Source organism: Homo sapiens, chromosome 4 (assembly GCF_000001405.40).
Source record: "Homo sapiens chromosome 4, GRCh38.p14 Primary Assembly".
NCBI lineage: Eukaryota > Metazoa > Chordata > Mammalia > Primates > Hominidae > Homo > Homo sapiens.
Genome location: NC_000004.12, coordinates 55,950,290 through 55,974,388, shown reverse-complemented (window position 1 = coordinate 55,974,388; position 24,099 = coordinate 55,950,290). Strand labels below are relative to the sequence as shown.

At 37.3% G+C, this 24,099-nt stretch overlaps 1 protein-coding gene and 1 long non-coding RNA gene across 6 annotated transcripts in view; one reads left to right on the top strand and one right to left on the bottom strand.

The window, feature by feature from the left end:
• CEP135 (centrosomal protein 135) overlaps positions 1–24,099 on the bottom strand; it is an 84,417-nt gene that overhangs the window by 58,973 nt on the left and 1,345 nt on the right. Inside the window, exons 2-10 of one of the 4 annotated variants that reach the window (NM_025009.5) lie at positions 22,146–22,303; positions 21,114–21,304; positions 20,006–20,173; positions 17,025–17,166; positions 14,623–14,707; positions 9,987–10,115; positions 8,530–8,745; positions 5,261–5,326; positions 2,981–3,119 (exon numbers count right to left, since the gene is read on the bottom strand). In NM_025009.5, the coding sequence (NP_079285.2) occupies positions 2,981–3,119; positions 5,261–5,326; positions 8,530–8,745; positions 9,987–10,115; positions 14,623–14,707; positions 17,025–17,166; positions 20,006–20,173; positions 21,114–21,304; positions 22,146–22,258 (1,249 nt within the window). In that variant the 5' untranslated portion in view covers positions 22,259–22,303. Of the gene's footprint in view, positions 1–2,980; positions 3,120–5,260; positions 5,327–8,529; positions 8,746–9,986; positions 10,116–14,622; positions 14,708–17,024; positions 17,167–20,005; positions 20,174–21,113; positions 21,305–22,145; positions 22,304–24,099 lie in introns of those variants that run through there. The other 3 variants (XM_006714055.4, XM_005265788.5, XM_011534412.2) reach the window with 3 other exon arrangements.
• Positions 249–21,998, top strand: LOC124900705 (uncharacterized). 2 transcript variants are annotated; one of them, XR_007058125.1, is made up of 3 exons: positions 249–425; positions 3,509–3,616; positions 9,386–9,494. It is a non-coding gene; the product is annotated as an uncharacterized LOC124900705 (long non-coding RNA). The 2 variants fall into 2 exon arrangements; XR_007058124.1 differs by lacking the exon at positions 9,386–9,494 and adding an exon at positions 21,918–21,998 and having other exon boundaries at positions 337–425.

The window sequence follows — 24,099 nt, the reverse complement described above, 5'->3', positions numbered from 1 at the left end:
GCACAAACTTAAAATTAAGTTTGAATTTAATACAGTATACACATATACAAAGAGAGCAAAATAACTCAAACATAATTATTAGCTTTTACCATAGAAATTGCCTCTTCATGAGTCAAAAGTAATCAAATACTGGCAATTTCATATAGTTGAACCTAATTTAATTTATGTTCATTACAACTCTGAGGCATGGAATGATTTTCCTGATGTATTCTGATTTATTCTCATCTCTTCTTTCATTCATTCAACAGATATGTATTAAGCATTTACTACATGCCCAGCACCAGCTAAGGATACAGTATAAAAAGCATAGCCAAGGCTGCACAACTATTCTAATTGTAGTAGGATAAAAGCTACAAAAGGACAGTGTGCAATGCAAACTAGAGGATGAACTGGCAAATTTGTCCCAAGAAGGATTGACCAGAGAGGTAAGAACAAAGTAGGAGAGTGGGAAAGAATGGGCAACTGGATTAAATGCAGTCAAATAAGCAAATGAATGAAAAGCAGCCACTGCATTCAGCATAACAGAGGTGAATGACTTTAACAAGAGCAGTTTTGTTGAAGAGATGGCAACAGAAGCCAACTGGAGTGGACTGAGGAGCTAAGGGGTAGTGGGTGATCAAGCAGAACAGCAAGTATGGCTGACCTTTCAAGACGCTGATGCTATGAAGAGAAGAAACGAGTGGCTGCATAGGAATGGGTCAAAGTTTTTGTATTGGAATGGGTGAGAGTAAGCATGTGAATGCCAACGGGAAAAAACAGTACAAAGATTAAAACTATGGAGAGGAGATCATTAATTTGTAAGGTTTTTAAAATTAGAGAAGTTAGGGCCCAGAGAATACATGGAGCCACCGGCCCTTTATAAGAGGGGCATTCCTGCATTGAACAGGAAGGAACAAGATGCACACGTTTTTAATCTGAGGCCAGAAGACTGAGTGAATCCCTGCCATAGCTTCCCTTCTTTTAGGAAAACTGGAGGTAGGATCATCCACTCAGAATGAAGGTGGGAAATGGGACTCACGGGTTTATTGACAGTGCAAAACATTTTAAATATCCCCCGTGGAGAATGGAAGATCAAACGCTAAGAGAACAGTGTAAGATTTCCATACAGCGCTGAGCAGTCTGCTGAGGTTCAGGACCATCTAATTTACAGTGCTCTCAATGTGCCTGGTGCACACTCAAACAGCTGACCATGTATAAAAGTGGAGAAGGTAAACTGTTTGGCTCATCCATGGCTGGGTATCTGGCAGGGGGATGCACCCAAAACACAGGGAAACAAGAGAGTTTGAGACAGTTGAAAGATTACACTGAAATGATAGGCCACACATAGCTATCAAAAAGAAAAATAAACTTTTTTTTTTTCACACAGTTTCACTATTTTTGCCCAGGCTGGAGTACAAGGGTGCGATCTCGGCTCACTGCAACCTCCGCCTCCGGGTTCAAGCGATTCTCCTGCCTCAGCCTCCTGAGTAGCTGGGATTACAGGCACCCACCACCACGCCCAGCTAGTTTTTGTTTTCTTAGTAGAGATGGGGTTTCTCCATGTGGGTCAGGCTGGTCTTGAACTCCCGACCTCAGGTGATCCGCCTGCCTCGGCCTCCCAAAGTGCTGGGATTACAGGCGTGAGCCACCGCACCCAGCCTGTTTTAAACTTTTATACATGGTTCTAAGCACTTCAACATATTAACTCATTTAATTATCACAACAACTTTTCAGGGTAGGTGTCATCATTAGCCCCACAGATAGGGAACTGAGGCACAGAGAGCTTAAGTAACATGCTCAAGTTACATGCTAATAAGTAGAGAGGAGTTCAAACAGATTATCCACATGGGCCTAGGAAAGAGACTCTTCTTAATACAGTAACTGGCTTTCTTTCACTTCCTAAGACACACAGAGTTTGATGGTACCAAGTTTCTGCACGTGCCATTTCCTCTGCGTAGAAAACTAGACCCCAGATTTTCATATTGCTGGTGTATTGTCATTGAGCACTTCATTCAATCTCTAGCACATCCTCCCATTCTAATTTAATACCTCTTATCAACTAAAATTAACTTCTTAATTTATGTGCCATTAGTTTGTTTCCCTAGCAAGAAAAAAGGCTCTGCAAGAGCAGGGCCCTTATGTATTTTGTTTGCCACTATACACCCCAGCACTCAAAAACAGGGCCTGGCACACACCCACACAGGAGGTGATTCATAAACATCGGTCAAATTAATGAATGAATAAATTCTTTTTTTTTTTGGAGATGGAATCTCATTCTGTCACCCAGGCTGGAGTGCAGTGGCACGATTCAGGCTCACTGCAACCTCCACCTCCCAAGTTAAAACGATTCTCTTGCCTCAGCCTCCTGAGTAGCTGGGATTACAGTCGCATGCCACCACGCCCAGTTAATTTTGTATTTTTAGTGGAGACGGGGTTTCACCATGTTAGCCAGGCTGATCTTGAACTCCCAACCTCAGATGATCCGCCTGTTTCAGCCTCCCAAAGTGCTAGGATTACAGGTGTGAGCCACCGCGCCCAGCCGAATGAATTCTTATATGTTCCTGATGCCAAGTCATTTAGAACTGGTACCTGTAGAAAGTTAGCCTATTTCAATTTGTGTGTGTGTTTATGTGTGTGTATTTTAAGATAATATAACTGCATTTCCTTGAAAAGATTCTGTACTTCAATTTTCCACTATCAAAATAGCCTTCCCTTTAGTCTTACTTAATTCTATTATTAGTCTGTCTCAAAGAAGGACACATTTCTATTGCAAAATATTCAAGCAGGGCTCCCTGTATAAACTAGCCAAAACATAAAAATTCTAAGGTCCTTGAGGGAGAGATTTCTACTGTATCTACAGTAACTACTATGGTTTTTGACTAATGGTAAGCACTCAACAAATATTTATTGAATGAATGAATGAATGAATATCTACTAAGAAAAACAATACATCAAGAGGAAATCACAATCATTCTTTAGCTATCAAAATTTGACATCTTACCTGTAACTGCAAAACTTTCAACTTTTTTGCTAAGTCTTTGCTTTTCTTGTTCAAGCTGATGAACAACAGTTTCTAGGTCTGATTTTACAAGGAGTTCATCACTCAGTCTCTCCTTTTCTTTCTGGCATAAGTTCAATTCCTGCAAATTTTAATACTATAATTAAGATTTCTAACAACTTTATAAAATATTATCGCACTTAAGATAGATTTTTATAAGCACATTTATATAACAGCAATTTACATATACGTGTGTGTACATATACTTAATTAGTCAAATATAAGGTTTCAATTAAACTTAATTATCATTTGTGGCTGAAAACACAAATATCAACAATGCTTCTTTGAGGGTGGGAGAATTATTTTCTTCTAGTTAGTTTAGCATATTGTCTTATTTTTTTCTAAATGAATATATACTTATATGATTAAAAAATTTAAAGCTTTTTCATGTTTAAGAGAGCAGTAGTAAGATAAATTCTTCTAAGATCACCACACACAGTGTATCTATAACTATACTGGTTATTCTCTCAGCCTCATATGCACAACAAGGATAATAAGACCAGGACACTAAGGATTTACTGGCGAGGATGAATCTATGGTTATGAAGTACTTTCCATGGTATCCAACATGTCCACCACGGTAAGTACTTAAAAAATGTTAGCTATCAATATTATCATTCTTATCTCAAAAATACATAGAATTTTGCATTACTAGAAAAAATAAGAAAGGTAAGAAAGTAACTACGGCAACATCTTACTGTAAGCCAACACTACTAAAACTTGGTCACAGTTCTGAGACAAGTATTATGAATCACATCCAACATTTAGTGCACATACAACTAGCAGTGAACAAACAGCAAAAATCCCTTGCTCTCATGCTTCCTTTTTAATTGACTTATGCCACCAGGACACTGCAGCTAGACTGTATAAAAAGTATACATAATGAAAGAACTTGGAAATTAGTATTTACCTTTATTTCCAATCTTAGAGAAAACTCTTCCAATTCAACAGGTTATTTTTTTAAAATCCTCAATCATTTGGGTGACTACCCAGTTTCTACCTTATAAGCAAGACACTCTTTCTGCTAGTTGCAGACTATAGGACTATATGCTTTTTCTGTATGCTACATTTAGGCTTCTGTTGGGATGATTACTTCCTTTGTTATTTGAAGACTACCAGAACAAGAAATGTGACTAGGAAAATGGTTTGTATTACCAAACAAAGCTATTAAAAGAGGACTGGGCTGGGCACAGTGGCTCATGCCTGTAGTCCTAGCACTTTAGGAGGCCGGGGCGGGAGAATCACTTGAGTCCAGGAGTTTGAGACCATCCTGGGTAACATAGTAAGACCTCATTTCTACTAAAAAAAAAAAAAAGCTAGGCACGGTGGCACATGCCTGCAGTCTTAACCACACAGAAGGCTGAGGTGGGAGGATCACTTGAGCACCAGGGGTTCAAGGCTGCAGGGAGCTATGATCATGCCATTACACTCCAGTCTAGGTGACAAGGCAAGCCCCTGTCTCCAAAAAATAAATAAATAAATAAATAAAAGAGGATGGAGTGCCTTTTGTAATAATCAACAAATATTTCAAGTTAATCAACAAATATTTCAAGTAATTAACTCCTGGTTTTAATATTAGTCAACTAACAAATCATAAAGTAGTTAAAAGAATGTAAAATTTCTAGCAGCTACCTACTATACATAAAATTAAGGAATTATAAAAATATAAACTTGCATGTCCATGCAGTGGAATATTACTCAGCCATAAGAAGGAATGAAGTACTCATAAATGCTACCACATGCATGAACCTTGTAAATATTATGCTTAGTAAAAGAATCCAGACACAAAATATATGATTCCCTTTATATGGAATGGCCAGAATAGATAAATCTACAGAAACAGAAAGTAGATTAGTGGTTGTCAGGAGCTGAGCAATAAAACAAAGCATACAAATTTTCTTTTCTTTTTTTTTTTTTTTTTTTTAAAGATGGAGTTTCGCTCTTGTTGCCCAGGCTGGAGTGCAATGGTGTGACCTCGGCTCACTGCAACCTCTGCCTCCCAGGTTCAAGCAATTCTCCTGCCTCAGCCTCCCAAGTAGCAGGGATTACAGGCATGCGCCACCACTCCCAGCTAATTTTTGTATTTTTAGTAGAGACGGGGTTTCGCCATGTTGATGTGGCTGGATGGTCTCGAACTCCTGACCTCAGGTGATAAACCCACCTCAGTCTCCCATAAAAATTTTCTTACTGAAAATGCTGGCAATTCAACATGACATCAACTTACCAGCTGAAGTTTTGCCATTGTTTCTTCAAGATCCTGCATTTCAGAGAGCTTTCTTTTAATCTCTTTCTAGGAATAAAAAGCCTATTAGGTATATACTTAAAAGTCTAAGAATACTTAAGTCATATGCAAATAGATCAAGTAATTTTGCAATTACTTCACGTTCCCTCTTACCAGTGAGATCTGAGGCTTTATCCCTATCAATTTCAACGAAGAGGCAAAATTGAGGCTTCTCTTTAATCTTTTGGTATCCCGAATGTTTACAGGAGCCTACTTGTAACATCTGAAGAAGGCCACTTGAGCATCTTGTAGGATCTTCCTTGGGCCTTAAATTTTGGGGTAATTCTATGGCACTGTCATTTCCTGATTTTCCTATCCTATTTGCTTTCTCCATACCTGCTTTTACCAACCTGGATCCTCTCTATACTGCAACTGAGAGAACAGAATGCCAAGATCAAAATATTATGACCCAATAGGAACATTTTGTTGAGCCAACTTGTCATTTCTGAGCATTTGCAATGGGACATGGGAAGCTGTGTTTAGCATGCTGTGTGCACAAGGATAGAAGATGCAAAAGGTGGTGGAAAAAGAGAGGGATGAGATATAGGAGTGTTGTAATGAAACTAAAACCACAAAAACAGAATTAAAACTGTACTCATTATATCCTTTTTCAAGATTGTGTTGGTGGTCTGGGGTCCTTGGAGATTCCATATGCATTTTAGAAGTTTCTTCTATTTTTGCAAAAAAAAAAAAAAAACACCACTGGGATTTTGATAGGGAATGCGCTGAATTTGAGTTGTATGGACACTTTAACAATATTGGGTCTTCCAATCCACGGACACGGAATGTCTTTCCATTTATTTGTGTCTTCTTTAACTTCTTTAGCAATGCTGTATAGTTTTTCAAGTGTAAGGGTTTTTCATCTCATTGGTTAAGTTTATTTCTAAGTATTTTATTCCTTTTGATGCTATTGCAGATGGGATTACTTTCTTAATTTCCTTTTTGGATAGTTTATTCTTAGTGTATAGAAAAACATCTGATTTTTGTGTGCTGATTTTGTATCCTGCAATTTTGCTGAATTAGTTTATTAGTTCTGGTTTCTGCGGAATGTTGAAGGCTTTCTACATATAAAATTATGCCATCTGTAAACAGAGATAATTTTATTCTTTCTTTGCAATTTGTATGCCTTTTCTTGCCTAACTGCTCTGGCTAGGACTTCCAGTACTATGTTGAGCAGCAGTGACAAGAGTGGGAATCCTTCCTTGTTCTTCATCTTAGAGGAAAAACTTCCAGTTTTTCACCACTGAGTATGATTGTTTGTTGTGGGCCTTTCACACATGGTTTTTAAAATATTGAGGTAATTTCCTTCTATTCCACTAATTAGTAGAGGTGGCACTATATAAAATCAATTCGGTGATATACAGCAGTGGTCTTCAAACTGGATTATACTTACTCCTGGGATAAATTGAACACTTTCCAAGTATTACATAAAACTATGGTATGCACATAGTTCTAAGGAATCAGCATCTGAATCCTTAATCTGCATATTCAGTGCTTCTTAAAAATGATCTACCTAATAATTTGTTTGTGGCCTGGCTATCATGTGAGTTCTGCATTCCTACCCTCCCTTTTATAAATGCCTTTCTCTCAATGTTCAAAGAAGGGCATGTATATCATTCATACCCCAATAGTGCACTGTCTCAAGATATAAAAAACTTTTAGAGTACCAGATCAAAAGATAATCTGAAATGTTGGGGCTGGCCAAAGGCTTTAAATAAGACACTATTTTCTCCCATTATAATTCATTAAGAGATGTATTTCCAATAAAATTTTACTTTTTTATTTCATAAATATCAACATTTGTGGTGTATTTGTCACTTTAACCCACTGATAATTAATAATTGTAATGATGACACTATTCAGATAAAAATATTAACACCTTGAACCTTACAGTTACAGGAAATTTTTAAAAATAAAAAATTTCTTTTTTTCCCATCAGGCTGTCAGAATTTTTTTTAAATAAAAAAAAATTCACTCTTTTTAAATTTATTCTTTTTATTGTACAGATGTATGATAGTATGATCATGAAAAGATTTTCAAGCATAAAACTAGTTGAAATAAGATAAAATTCTATGGAAATTTCAAGGAGAAAGGATCATTTAGATTTTACTGGCTATAATTAAAAGAACAATGAAATAGTTTTATTTTAAGATATTATATTTAAAATAGACTGGAAATATCACCCTTTCCATTTAAACTTAAAAGATGAAAAATGTTATTATAATTACCAACTTAAAAATGTGCAAGGACATACACAGTTTTAAAAACACTTTTAAAGAATTCTTGGTGGCCAGGCATGGCTGCTCATGCCTGTAATCTGAGCACTTAGGGAAGCTGAGGCAGGAGGATTGCTTAACCCAGGAGTTTGAGACCAGCCTGGGCAACATAGTGAGATCCCATCTCTGCAAAAAATCAAAAAATTAGCTGGGCCTTGTGGCATGCACCTGTAGTCCCAGCTACTCAGGAGGCTGAGATGGGAGGATTGCTTGAGCCTGAGGAGGTTGAGGCTGCAGTGAGCTATGATTGTCCCACCACACTCCAGCCTGGGCAACAGAGCAAGACCATGTCTCAAAAAACACAAGCCGAGCGTGGTGGCTCACGCCTGTAATCCCAGCATTTTGGGAGGCTGAGGTGGATGGATCACCTGAGGTCAGGAGTTCGAGACCAGGCTGGCCCACATGGTGAGACCCCATCTCTACTAAAAGTACAAAAATTAGCTGGGCATGGTGGCGGGCACCTGTAATTCCAGCTACTTGGAGGCTGAGGCAGGAGAATCACTTGAACTGGGGAGACGGGGGTTGCAGTGAGCCGAGATCACACCATTGCACTCCAGCCTGGGAGACAGAGATTCTGTCTCAAAAAAAAAGGATTCTTGAGCAAAAATGACATAGAGGGGAAACTTTAAAAGCTCTCTCACAATGCATAGATAAAGGGGCAGAGATAAAAATCGTGAAGGAAAACAGACTAGAGTTTGGAGATCCATCCTAAGAATAGGTGTGCTTCAGAGAGACACTCAAACAACTAAAACAACTACAATCATTTACAGGGTGTAAACAACACTTCAGAAAACCCTGAATTACCAAAGCAAAAAAACAAAAACAGACACACAAAATAAACCAAAAACCTGAATGCAGATATCAAAAGGGATCAAGCTTACCGTGTGCTAGGAGAATTAATGAACACTCTCACAATCTACACATATCATTCATTACCTTTGCTTCCCCAAGCTCTTTATCAGCAGTCTCAAGCACTTCTTCTTTATGTCTTTCCAACTGCTGTGCTAACTGATCTATTTCAGTTAATTCTTGGCAGAGTTTTTCATTTTTGTTACTTAAATTAACGACTTCAGATGTCACTGTTTCCTTGGTTTCCATAAGCTCTCGTATACGCTTCTCCAGGTCTTTATTAGCTTGCTGAAGAAAGTCAACCTAAATTGGAGTTGTAATTTATGAGGTATATGAATTGGAAAATTATCCTAAACACTGACTTTCCAAATAATACTTCAAAAAACTATATTTTAAAAATTATTGAAGATTAAAACTACAGCTATTTTATATTTGCAAATTTATATTGTTATTTACAAAACTGACCATGTGCAGTGTAATGAAAGTACATATCCATTGACTTTGATTTTCAAGCATAGAAAGGACAAGAAATTTGTGTGAACTTTTTCCCAATACAGAGTTCTATACAACAAGAATATCAAGATGATAATAGACTGTGTTGTTCAATATAGTAGCCTCTAGCAACCACATGTGGCTACTGAGCATCTGAAATGTGGCTAGTGTAAACTGAGATGTGCTATAACTGTAAAATATACACAGGATTTCAAAGATAATACAAACAAAAAAATAGGTATGTAAAAACATTACTGGTTGAAATTATAATATTTTGGACATACTGGGGTAAATATATTGTTACAATTAATTTCACCTCTTTTTATTTTTTTAAATCAAGCTGCTACTAGAAAAATTTAAATTACATATATGGCTCATATCATATTTCTATGGGACAGCACTCCTCTAGAGCTACTGTTGATATTTTTTACTTACTATATTCTGTTTGTAGCCCAGGCAACTCTGTCATACCAAAATTTCTAAAGTTCCTGTGTCATACTGCATGGAACTCTCCTGCTCTTTCAGCCTTAGGTCAAATGCATGGCAAAGGAATCCACTACGTAAGTAGATAAAAGCTAGGTATTTAATTTTTATATATATTTTTAAATTTTTACATTATAAAATAAATATATACTCATAAAAATTTTAAAAAAGAAAAAGAGAAAACCATAAAGGAGAATATCCCACCACAGAAAGATAAGCTTTGTTAGTATACTTTGGTATATTCTCTTCGTTTTCTCTTTCCAAGTCCATATATACATTTTCTTAAAAGCAAATTGGCAATCATGTGCCCAGAGTTTATTCTCTTCCTTTAAATTGTTAATGTTATGGTGCATGTTAATTACTGCCTCATTAGTCTTTGAAAACATGATTTTTCAATAACTCCACCCTATTTCTGGATACTATGGTTCTATCAAATTTTTCCCATTGCAAATAATACCTCAGTGAACAACTCCTGCCACTTTTACAAACCCATAGACCATTATAAACATATAGTGTTTATTATAAACACCATTATATACACTCAGTGAAATAATTATAAAAGCCATTACCTGAATATTTAAATGAGCAATAAGCTTTTCATTGGTTTTATTTCTAGACTCCAGAGAAAGGACATCAGGGGACCGACCACCATCCAAAGCAACTGACAGTCGTTCTATCTCTCGTTCTCTTAGCTCAATCTGAAGATATAGTCATGCTGTCATTTTAAAAAATCTGGTTTTCAACCAAATGATTAACACTGTACAAACATTTATTTGGATATATTTTCTTATGTACCAATGTATGCAAGAGATTAACATTCATATTTGTGTCCATATATTATATGCATAAATGCAGAACAAAAATAAATTACATAGAAAATGTCAACAGACATGCTGTCACTATATCTTTCATATGTATTTTTACTACATAGATTCTTCCTAATTTAATTTTTGTATTTTTTTCCCTCCTTTAAGATTTAACAATGTTTATATAAAAAGAAACTTGCTAGCAGATTACATACATGCTCAAGTACTAGAACTGAATCTCAACTACTTCAGTTCCTGGTAGAATAAATGAATGAGTGTAACACACTAAGAAAAGTAAGTTGCTACTGAACCTCAATATTAAAAAGAATAGGAAACTGGGGTGAATTTAATTATCTGTTATTTATGTAAGAATTTGGAAAGGCTCACACTTTCAAGCTTTGGCTTTTTCTTTTTCTTTTTGAGACGGAGTTTCACTCTGTCACCCAGTCTGGAGTGCAGTGGCATGATCTCGGGTCACTGCAACCTCTGCCTCCCGGGTTTGAGCAATTCTCCTGCCTCAGCCTCCTGAGTAGCTGGGACTACAGGTATGTGCCACCACGCCTGGCTAATTTTTGTATTTTTAGTAGAGATGGGGTTTTACCATGTTGGCCAGGCTGGTCTTGAACTCCTGACCTCAGGTGATCCGCCTGCCTCGGCCTCCCAAAGTGCTGGGATTATAGGCGTGAGCCACCACTCCTGGCCCAAGCTTTGGTTTTCTTAAATAAATAACCAAACATTCCAAACATACCAAAAAGCAACAAAAACATGGAATGTTTGAGACAGCAGAAATAGCTTGGTATGACTGGATGTAATGTGCATGGGATCTAGTAGTTGGAGATGTCTGAAGAACTAGGACAAAACTAATTACGATTATGCTGGACTAAAGGATGAAATTGACAGGAATAAAAACAGAGGCAGGGGCAGGGAGACCTAATGCAGAAATGCATAAGAAACAATTAATAACTAAAATAAAACAGTGGTAGAGGATAGAACAGAAGAAATAAGTTTAAGAAGCACTTAGCCAGGAGAAATGACAGAACTTGGTGAGTGGTATGCGAAGGCAAGAGAAAGAGATCTAGAAAGAATACAGAATGTGCACTTGGGCAAACATTGATGCTACCAACCAAAGTAGAGAATAAAGGAGTCGAAACCAGAAGAGAAAAAGTTCAGTACAAGGCATATGAGTACAAAAAGACTCCACCCAAGTGGAAATGCCCAATGTAAAGGTGGGTATATGGGTCTGGAGTTCAGCAGAGAAGTTTGAGCCACAGAGAGATGAAGGAGTCATCAATATACAGGCAGTATTTTAAACCAAGAGAGCAGATGAGGACACTTGAAAAAGATACATAAGACGAGAAGGGGTCAAAGACAGAATCCAAGAAAACAGTAATATTTCAGGGAGTGGACAGTTGAAAAAAAGCAAAAAAAAAAAAAAGAGGCTTAAAAAAAAGAAAACTGGAAAAAAATGAAGTCATGGAAGAAGTTTCAAAGAGCAATTATCAATAATATCAAATACCACAGAGTAGGTCAAGAAAACAAAGACTGTAAGTATCCTTTTGGATCTAGCAATTAATGTTACTAATGTAATTAACTAGACCAGTTCACATAGTGAGTGCAGAAGACAGACTACAATAGGTTAAGGAGTGAGCAGGAGGTGGAGAAGCAGAGACAGAAATGGAGATATCAAGTAAGACAGTCTTTGGAGAAGTCTGCATAGAGAGGGAGAAGGAATCCTCAAGAGGGGGAGGTAGTTAAAAGAGTTTTTTGGCCGGGCATAGTGGCTCACGCCTGTAATTCCAGCACTTTGGGAGGCCGAGGTGAGAGGATCACAAGGTCAGGAGATCGATACCATCCTGGCTAACACAGTTAAACCCTGTCTCTACTAAAAAATACAAACAATTAGCCGGGTGTGGTGGTGGGTGCCTGTAGTCCCAGCTACTCAGGAGGCCAAGGCAGGAGAATGGCATGAATCCAGGAGGAAGAGCTTGCAGTGAGCCGAGATCGCGCCACTGCACTTCAGCATGGGCGACAGAGGGAGACTCCGTCTCAAAAAAAAAAATAAGAGTTTTTTAAAAAGGATGTTAGCTATGACAATAGAAGTACGTCTTCACAGGATTGTTATGAAGATTAAATTAATTAATCATTGTAAAGTGGTTATATAAGTACTTGTTAAAGAAAAAAAGAATAATTGATTAAAGTAAGGTCCTAAGGAAAAAAGAGGAAATGGGGTCAAGAGCACAGGCAACTCAGCCTTAAACAGGAAGAACAATACCCTGCCCACCAAGTCTTAAGATAGCCTGAGTACAAATATGGCTAATTTTAAAGGTAGAGATAGAAAGTTGAGACAAGGTGACATTCTCAGAAGATGGATTTTTTTTTTTTTTTTTTTTTTTTTTTTTTTAGACAGAGTTTTCGCTCTTGTTGCCCAGGCTGGAGTGCAATGGTGTGATCTTGGCTCACCACAACCTCTGCCTCCCGGGTTCAAGCAATTCTCCTGCCTCAGCCTCCCAAGTAGCTGGGATTACAGGAATGCGCCACCACACCCGGCTAATTTTGTATTTTTAGTAGAGATAGGGTTTCTCCATGTTGGTCAGGCTGGTCGCCAACTCCAGACCTCAGGTGATCTGCTCGCCTCAGCCTTCCCAAGTGCTGGGATTACAGGTGTGAGCCACCGTGCCCGGCCAAAGATGGGTATTATATAAATTGGGAAAACAGCTTAAAAACAGCAAAATCTGGAATATGTGCTGAGAAAGAATAAACTCCAGCAAAAAAAGACAAATAACTGATAGGCAGCAGAGTAAGCTCAACTAAGATTGCAAACCACAATAAATTGGTGGCTTTAATCAGAGTAGTCAAGCTGTTTTCTCCAAACACCTCAGCCACCTCACAGAGATGGTAAGAAGTTTATGTTCATAAAGTACCTGAAAAAAATGAAAGTGTAATTATAAAATGAAAAATGCCAGTAATATTAAACTCATGTGCATATTGGATATTTTCAACATCTCTTCATGAAGTAAGGTTTTTGGGGTTGACATTATGATTTCCTTTTTTTTTTTTTTTTTTTGAGACAGAGTCTCTGTCACCCAGGCTGGAGTGCAGTGGTGCAATCTCGGGTCACTGTAACCTCCGCCTCCCAGGTTCAAGAGATTCTCCTGCCTTAGCCTGCTGAGTAGCTGGGATTACAGGCACACACCACAACCTCAGCTAATTTTTGTATTTTTTTTTTTTTTTTTTTTTTTTGAGACGGAGTCTCGCTCTGTCGCCCAGGCTGGAGTGCAGTGGCGGGATCTCGGCTCACTGCAAGCTCCGCCTCCCGGGTTCACGCCATTCTCCTGCCTCAGCCTCCCAAGTAGCTGGGACTACAGGCGCCCGCCACTACGCCCGGCTAATTTTTTGTATTTTTAGTAGAGATGAGGTTTCACCATGTTGGCCAGGATGGTCTCAAACTTCTGATCTCAAGTGATCCACCCGCCTCGGCCTCCCAAAGTGCTGCGATTACAGGCATGAGCCACCACGCCTGGTCAATTTTCTTTAACTCCATTTTTATCCAACTAATCTTCAAAACACTTTAAAGATTTAGTTATACCAACACCTAAGTTACATCTATATTTGTGTGTGCAGATCACTCAAAAAAAATGCAGTCAATGCAGAAAATGAAAAACATGTTACCCAATTTAACCTTCAAGAAGCATATTAAGAAAACAAGCCTATAATTACCCAAATCAAAATTTAGCCAAGACATCAATAGAAATTATGAAAAGACAAAGCTTGCTATGGTTATAATATAACTCTGCATCTACTAATTCTCCTGATTCTTCAGAAAACTGTTGTATGAGGACTTGTGCTTATAGAGAAAACAAACAAAAAAATTAGCAACACAAAAGAGTAACTTTCTAAGAGACTGGTGTTCAATATGACAAAATATATAATAAGAGTAGAAAAATCACAAAAATACAATTATAAAACATAGCACACTTAATAAAATGTCTCCTGAGATGAAAACGGTAATATGGTTATAAAATTATATTTGGGGAGATAGATGATTCAGCTAAAAGAAAAACCAAACAAAAAACTACTATTCACCTCAATGAATAGTGAAGAGAATCGAGTAAATAAGTGCTCTTCAATCCATTAATCCTCCCACCTCAGCCTCCCAAGTACCTGGGACCATAGGCACATGCCACCACACTTGGCTAATTTTTAAATTTTTTGAAGAGACAGGCTAAGTAAGTAAAGCCACCTAAGCCATTCCAGCTATTAACTCTATTAACAAACCTGATGAAAAAGAGGAAAGCTGTATAAAAACTCAGTATCAGCAATTTCAAATATAACCCAATTCTATTTACAATCACAGCATACCTATCTCAATCCCTACTATGCAAGTAAATAAAAATCCTACCTGCTTGCTATAGTCTCTCACCCCACTTTCCATCATTGCTAACTTTTCTTGTAGCTGGTGGACTTCCTGTTGAAGTTCTTGAATCCTGAAAAGCACTTTAAATTAATGCCAATACACTTTTGTTAAGAAATACAAAATAAGAAACGAAGCTAGATGTGTTATTTCATAAATTCTATACTTTCAGCTTCTCAAACAGGTAGGACGTACTGTGCCAAAGGGTCCCCAAATCAATATAAAATATAGTACAACATCATGGAGAGTTGGTTTGTAACAAGATTTAAAACTGAGTAGTAAATAATTTGAAACTCAGATACACTGTGCAAGAAACACCTCACTATTGCATTTTGATCCCCAGGAAAATTCTTTGAGGTACTGCTGCCAATTCTTAGGTTTAGAAAACTGAGGTTTACTCCACAATTCACAGACTTAGTAAGTGAAATAAGAAACTAAAATGTGTTTTCTGACCCTAACCCTGTATTGTCTACTACTACTTTGAAACCCTGGAAAAAAGATCATATGTAACTACAGCAAAAAACCTATTCCTTCTGGAACTTGTTAATTCCAACAGAATCAAGATTTTGTCCAAATTACCTGAATTGTTCAGGTACATTATGACATAATTAATCCATTTTCATATTGGAAAGACAAAGCCTGAAGCCAGGTCTGCTTTTTTTTCTTTTTTGAGACAGGGCCTTCCTATGTTACCCGGGCTAGAATCCTGTGGCCCGATCACAGCTCACTGCTGCCTCAACCTCCACAGCTCCATCAATCCTCTCACCTCAGCCTCCCAAGTACCTGGGACCACAGGCACATGCCACCACACTTGGGTAATTTTTAAATTTTTTGTAGAGAGAGAGTTTTTCCACATTGTCGAAGCTGGTCTTGAACTCCTGGGCTTTAAGCAATCCTCCTGCCTCGGCCTACCAAAGTGCTGGGATTACAGGCGTGAACCACAGTGCTTCCAGCCCCAGGTTTGTTTTTAAAAGAGATTTTCCATGGGGTGGAGTAAATGAGGCTGGATACGGCTTGTACCTGATGTTAACTGGAACCAACATTTTCTACTAATCTAGGTTTAGGAGAAGAGTATGTATGCAACTGCACTCATATAAATGCATGAATGACTCTGAATACAAACAAAATGTGCATATATAAATTAAACAGGACAATTAAAAAAGACTAATGTCACTTATGCAGCCCAAATAATTCCCTAAATAATACAAACACATTATCTGAAAAGCCCTAGATAATAAGAACAAAACACTTCCCAGTTAAGGTCAAACAACTATATAAAAATATTATGTGACAACTGAGTGAAGAGATCCTAATCAGTAGCTCAAAGGGTCTTGCTCTGTGTCCCAGGCTGAAGTGCAGTGGTTCAATCTCAGCTCATTGCAACCTCTGCCTCCCAGGTTCAAGCGATCTGCCTACCTCAGCCTCCTAAGTAGCTGGGACTACAGGTGCATGCCACCATGCTCGGCTAATTTTTAAATTTTTTGTAGAGAAAAGGTCTCACTATATTGACCAGGCTGGTCTTGAATTCATGGGTTCAAGCGATCCTCCTGCCTTGGCCTCCCAAAGTGCTGGGATTAACAGGCGTGATCCACTGCACCTGGTCCCAGTGCTCTTTTTTAGCTTTATCTATTGAGATTAATAAAACCCCCCACATTCTCTGTATAATCTACAAAATAAAAAGCTACCTGCATGAACTATTTCCATTAGTGTATTCTACAGTTTGAAATGCTTCTCCAGCTATCACCGTGGAGACTAGTGCTCATCCATTCCTTTGAGCCTCTTATAATTTTCTTAATGGTGTTTTGTGAATTTCTCATCTCATCTCTAGTACTGGACTACAAGCTTCTCAAAAACAGAAACACCATCTTCTTCATCTTTATATCCTCAGAACACTTACACAGTGCCTTGCCCAGGAGGTTTAATAACATTTCAATCAAATGGAATTTATATATGATTCAAATGTAAGGAAATATAAACACAGAGCTAGAGAAACCATTAAAAAAGGAATTTCAAATCCAGTTACACATCTCTTCATATTTAACTGACATTTGACACAAATCTGAAGCAATAAAGATTCTTGCAAAAGATACCTCTTATTTGGAGACAACACAAAATGTCAAAGCAGCTCTACTTAAACAGGTTCTTGATGGCAATAATTTTTAAGCCAGTATGAACAGAAACCTTAGATATATGATCCATTTGATCAAAGTTTCAAAACAAGTAAAAACATTTTATATCAATCTGGAAGTATTTACTGAGTGCCGGTGCAAAGTTCTGTGCTAGACACTGGAGACACAACAGTTAACAAGAAAAAAAGCCCTCCTATCAAGAAACTTACAGCTAATTGAGTGCTCAATTAACTCAAGCCAAGAAAGAATTATTTAATGCACCTGTTATCAGCCACTTGAAGGAGGTCTGCAATGTAAGGGTCATCTGGTTGAGGAACTGGATATGAACTGACTTCAGAGGGAGGAACCGGTTCATCAATTTGCATACGCTGGCGCCTGAAAGCAATACTTCTTTTCTTGCCACCTAAAAAGAATGAGTGTCTTAAAAAACTAAGAAGAAACAAAACCATGTCTTAGAATTAAATATTCCAGGTTAGCCTTTCGGTTATAAAGTGTGTCTGCAGTTCATAATACATATTGACAAAATATTTTCTCCATCAATATATAAATATCCACCCTGATCTTTAACTAAACAATGCATTCCTAAAAACCTCAACAAGACATGGTTATCAAACAAGTTTTATATGCCTGCAAGCTTGGCATATATGCCCAGGCTTAATATGTTTGCCCACTAGATGGGGATAAGACTTTGGCAAGTTTAAAAGCTGAATGCGGCCAGGTATGGCGGCTCACACCTATAATCCCAGCACTTTGGAAGGCCGAGGCGGGTGGATCACCTGAGGTTGGGAGTTCGAGACCAAGCCTGGCCAACATGGTGAAACCCCGTCTCTACTAAAAATACAAAAAAATTAGCTGGGCGTGGTAACGGGCACCTGTAATCCCAGCTACTTGGGAGGCTGAGGCAGGAGAATCTCTTGAACCCGGGAGGCCGAGGTTGTGGTGGGCCAAGATTGCGCCACTGCACTCTAACCTGGGCAACAAGAGTGAAACTCCATCTCAAAAAAAAAAAGCTGAATGTGCCTGTGGTGTTCACTATTATGAGCTCAAGAAATTATCACTAGCAGAAAACTGGCAGTGAGAACTAAAATATGCGTGGTTATTAGCTAATATCAACATAAAAGATAACTGAAATTGTAAGTAGCAAAGTTAGAATGAATGGAATGTCATCTATAATATAAAGTCATGCTATAATCTGAATTAGGAGGGAATGTTTTCTTAACCTCTACAAGTAGTAGGACTAAATTTTCTTATGGCTAGATATATCTTGTCTTGGTCAAAAATACATGGACAATTTATCTCTTTAAGGATTTTGCCAAGATTAGAAGTGTATTTGAAAAACCAGCAGATCCTTGTGAAGAACAAACATAATCCACAATTTTGTCTCATTAGAATTCTAACAAATTTTGTATACTCCTACAGAGGTAGGAGTATACAAAAGGAGTTTTAAGGATAAGAAAACTGGGCCAAAAGTATTTAAATGACCTGTTTGTTCACACACCTGAACAAAGCTAACCATTCCTTCTTTCTTTACCTCCTGGTTTTCCTCCTTGGTGGCTCCTCAGTTTCTTTCAGAAACTGTCTTCTTCCACCTGTCCCTTAAATACCAATTTCCCTCACATCTGACTCTGGGTCTCCTCTCTTCCCAGTCTACATAATCTCACTAGATAATTCTTACTACACCCATAGCTTCAATTACCATGAGACTCCAATGACTCTTAAATTTGCATCTCCACCAGGGCCCACACTTTTGAGAACAGATCTACATATCCCACTGTTTGCCAAAAATTTAGACATGAATGTCTTGTGGGTATAGCATACTCCACACATCCAAAAGTGGACTCCTGCTCTGCTTCCCACATTCTCTAACTTAAGAAATAGTATCACCCTCCACCTAACTCATTCACTCGAAAGAGAAGTCTGAGAATTCCTCTGCTTCCCAAATCTACATTTACTCACTATCTTGATTATACATCTTGAATCTCTCCGGAGTCTATCCCATTCTTTCCTCAGGAAACCTGATTATCCTCTTTTTTGCCTTAATCTTCTAGTTACTTTCAAGGTTGACTCCCACTTTTCTCTATCTCTTCTGCCTTTTGCTCACAGTCCCCATGTCCATCTATCTCATTTACTAAACTATCTCACGCTCCACTGAGTCTTCCCCCACCTGGCTTCACAGTTCTAATCTGTCCACTCTCAGGAGTCTCCTCTCCCCTCAACTTCAGGCACACAATAAGATGATACACTTTGGCCTTTGTCATCACTCAGAACTCTGCTGGCTTCTAGTTCTTCAACTCCAAAATTCCACTCTGACTGCAATCTTCATAGCAAACAAATTACTTTTGGTACTCATCATGCTCTTTAATCTGTCTTGACCTAGCCTCATAATCCAGCAGCCCCCTGTTACTCACTTAATTTCATAATCTTGATCCCATGGTTCAGCTATCTTAATGATTTTGTCACTAATATTGTAGATTCTACCACCAACCCATACCTGCTGAACAATCACCAACTCTGGATGTGGCCCATCATTTCTTTTTTTTTTTTTGAGACAGGGTCTCACTCTATCACCCAAGCTGGAGTGCAGTGGTGCAATCTCAGCTCACTGCAACCTCCGCCTCCCAGGCTCAAGCAATCCTCCCACCTCAGCCTCCCAAGTAGCTGGAACTATAGGCTTGCGCCACCATGCCCAGCTAATTTTTGTATTTTTGGTAGAGGTGGGGTTTCATCACGTTCCCACACAGGTCTTGAAGCGGCCTCAAATGATCTGCCCACTTCAGCCTCCCAAAGTGGTGGGATTACAGGTGTGAGCCACTGCACCTGGACCCATCATTTCCTTTTCTTGCTCTATAACTACTAAGCATAATGCTAAAAATAGTAAAATAAACTAAGAAAGTACATAATTTCCAAATTCTTTAATGAGTATGGATTACTTTTACAACTAAAATAATAATGATAATAATAATAGAAAAAAGAATTTAAAATATTGATTAGAGAAAGCTCTGGGCATTAAAGTTAGACTAGTATCTAAGTAACTAATACTACATACATTTCTAAGCACACGTATAAATTACTACCCGGATCATTAGAAATAAATCAAGAAGTTTACGGTCTATTCAATATATATTTTCAAACACTAAAGTCTAAGCATGAAAATCCAATCCAAAGTCCTATTTTAGTCAATGGTGTTAATATCGTTAAAAGATTAAATGTGTATAATTTGTCTCGAGAAGGAATCGATTTACCTGGAGTTTGTACTACAGCATGCAAATTCTTTTCTTGAAGTTGTTGAATTCTTTCATTCTTAGCTTTGCTCTCTTTCTCCAACAGTTTGAGTTTATGAGCATATTGGTTATTCAGAAATTTCAGATCAGCTGTTTCACGTGCACATTTCTTCAATGAAGTTTTCAACTCTTAAAATGAAAAAGATTCAAAGACCGTTTTAAAGATCAAGAAATCCAATGAAGTTTTTCCATTTCACAAAATACAAAAAGTCATATCAATTTAAAAGTCTCCACCTGCTTCTTATGCATGCTTTAGTTGACACTTATTCCTTCTTCTACTATTATTAACAAAACTGCAAATAACTCACTAAGCACAAAAGAGAATCTTCATTTTTCAGCTACTGTATTAGCCTAACGTACATCATAGCTTTTGATCCAGTAAATTGGGTCTGAAGCTAAAGGATTATGAATTCATACCATGGATTAGATAAAGTTTTCTACTGAATATAAGAATAATTCATACAAAGATAACCATATAATTATCTTTTCCCTAGTACCTTTGAAATCATCCTATTCTACTTGACAGCTCAAAGACTGACTATAAAACAGTCAGCATGATACATGGTTTTCACCTTATTTACTACTTTTATTTTCAGTAAGGGAAAAACAAAAGTTGTTTCAAGAACATTTCTTCAAATCCAGCATTTAATATTCCCTATGGCAATTTTAATTCTAAAATTTTAATTAAATTTTTAATTCTAAAAATTTAATCCACATATAGTGATTATCATAGCTATATAATGCACATTTATTTTCCTTCTCAGGAACTCTTCAACATACCCTATAGTATTTCAGGGGCTATTAGCAGAAGGAGTACCATATTTTCTTTTCTTTTCTTTTTTTTTGAAACAAGTTCTCACTATGTTGCCTAGGCTGGTCTCAAACTCCTGGGCTCAAGCAATCCTCCCACCTTAAACTCCCGAGTAGCTGGGACTATAGGCACACACCATCCAGCTGTAGGACTACTATATTTTCTAATCAATAGTTTTAAAATTAGACGTTAGCTTTTCCTTCTAAAATAAAAAGGACAAAGACATTGCATTTTAAAAATTATCAAATTTTCACTTACCTTTAACGTGTTGGTCTGAATGTTCTCTCAGTTTCATTAACTCTAGGTATAATTCATTATTTTCTCTACTCAATCTTGCATTTTCAAGTTTATAGGGTTCCAAAACAAAATCAAAATTGGCACTTTCTTTTTCAGCTTTCACAGCAGATAATTTTGATTGCCGAAGGCTCTCAGTTGTATGAACTAAGTCGCTAAAAGAACAGAAAATTTAAATACCAGGAAATATTTCATTAACTTTCTAATAACTAAAAACATATTTCTAAAGAGGCTTAAAATACAGTCATGCACCACATGATGACATTTTGGTCAACGACAGACCACATATAGGAAGGAGAGTAGTCCTGTAAGATTTATAATGGGGGCAGCTGAAAAATTCCTATTGCCTCATGAGATCTGGCCATTGTAACACTGTAGCACAACACAATACCTTTTCTATGTTTAGATATGTTCAGATATACAAATAGGCACCACTGTGTTAACAATTACCTACAGTATTCAGTATAGTAACATGCTATACAGGTTTGTAGCCTAGGAGCCATAGGATACAGACCATATAGCCTAGGTTTGTGGTAGGCGACACCATCTAGGTTTGTGTAAGCACACCCTATGATGTTGGTACAACGAAAAAATCACCTAATGATGACATGTTTCTCAGAACGTATCCCTGTCATGAAACTATCCATGACTGTATTTGAAGACCAGTGAAGCAGACATAGAACTTAAGGGGGGGAAAAAAAAAGAACTTAAGGGAAAAGTGTCTCTCAATTATATCAGAAACCCAAAAAACTGTAATTCCATTCACAGAGAAAACCCCCAGAAATGTTGACTTTGAACAGTACAGCGTGAGTGGTGGCCTTTAGAGTTCTGCCGTGTGGAAGGCCTGGATTGAGGACAGGGAAAAAACAGATAAGCTTCATGATTGAAAGCCTTTCCGGAAAGCTACCCTTTTCTTTACCAAAGCATGAAGTTCAATCAGAAATGAGGTAAGTGGTTAGGGATCATAAAGGTTGAAAACTGTATTTTTGTCTTTACCTGAAAAGTTTTTCTACCAAAGGTAAACACTCCACTGTCAGAGTCTGGCGGTATCCCAGCTGATCCAGCCTTTTCCTAATATTAATATACTTTCTCTCTACAGCTGTAGTCATCTCGTCTTCTAAAACAAGTTTTATTCACTTCCAAAAATTAAAGTCCTGAGAGAAAAGAATGAAACATCATTATCTTATTATAGCTATGATTGTTGTTTCACAATAAGAAGAAAAAATTATTTTAATATGAAGCAATTATTTTTTGTTTTTCTTCAGGTAGGTAGCCTTCTGGAAAATTCAGATTTAAAGCCAATGCTTATGATATTCCTGTTACTGCATTAAAATAAATACTTCCTCATACAACTAAATGTAAAAGTTAAAATCCTAAAGCTTCTAGGAGAAAACAAAGATTTTTCCTAAGCCTGAAGTAGGCAGAGACTTCTCAGAGAGGCCTCTTTTAAAAGCACTAAACATAAAAGATAAATTTGATAAATTGGACTTCATCAAAATTTAAAATGTCTGCTCATCAAAATACTCAATTAAAATAGAGAAGGCAAACCAAAGAGTGGGAGAAAATATTCACAATATCTGACAAAGGATTTGTATAGGGAATATAAAAGGAATTCTTACAACTCAATAATAAGACAAACATCCCAATAAGAACATTAATTTGGGCTAAAACTGTAATTTAGTTGCGCTAAAGATTCGAACAGACACCTCGCATAGGTGTCTGAATGGGAATGATGATATGAAATGGTGCTCAACAGTAGTCAACATGGAAATACAAATTAAAACAACAAGGTACATTTTCTCCCAAACTAGAATGACTAAAATTACAAGGACCGACAATAGCAAATGTCGACAAAGATCTGGAGCAACTGGAATCTTCACACATTGCTGACAGGAATGTAAAATCACTTTGGAAAAAGTCTGGCAGTTTTTTTATAAAGTTAAACATACTTCTGGACTATAACCCTGTGATTTTATTCCCAGGTATTTATAGAAATAAAAAATATTCACAAAAATACTCTACAAGAATGTTCACAGCTTTACTCATAGTAGCCCCAAACTGGAAACAACCTAAACCCCCATCAACAGCAGAAGGGGTAAAGTATGATATATTTATACAGTGCAATACTAAGGGATAAAAGGAACTACTGATACACATCAACAGCATGGATGAATCTCAAAAACATTATTTGAGCAAAAGAAACCAGACAAATACTGTATGACTCCATTTACATGAAGTTGATGAACAAGTAAAATTAAAACTATGGGGCCAGAAATTAAAACAAGAGTTGTCTGGGGAGGTGAGGCGGGCTGCAGATTGCCCGTTAAGAGTTAAGACACAACTTTTTAGGGTAATGAAAATATTACATTGATTGGGGTAGTGGTTACACAAGTGTATACATTTAGAGAATTTACTTTTCAAATAGTACACTTAAACTCTATGCATTTCATCATGTAAATTTCACTTCAATTAAAAAAAAAGACACACATAAGTACCTCTGTTCAAGTTTTTATCTTTGTCTTTTTAAATATTTATGAATATATTCCTATCAATCTGCCCTAAAATGGAGTTATCCAAAGAGCATTTCTTTTTTTTTTTTATTTTAATTGTTACCTTTTTTAGAGACAGGGTCTTGCTATGTGGCCCAGGCTGGTCTCCAACTCCTGAGCTCAAGGTATTCTCCCACCTCTACCTCCCAAAGTGCTAGGTTTACAGGTGTGAGCCAATATGCTCAGCCCAAAGATCATTTCTTTAGAAACTCTGCTCTTTTCTAACCTTTGCTAACTAACTGTAGTCATGGTACTCGTATTTCTAAGCCAAATAAAAATTTTGTTTTACATCTGTTGTTCTTCACAATATATAAAAAATGCATTACATGCATGAGCATACATGTAAAAGTCGATCCTCACAGCTACCCTGTGAGGGAGAAAGACCAATGATATTATCCCTA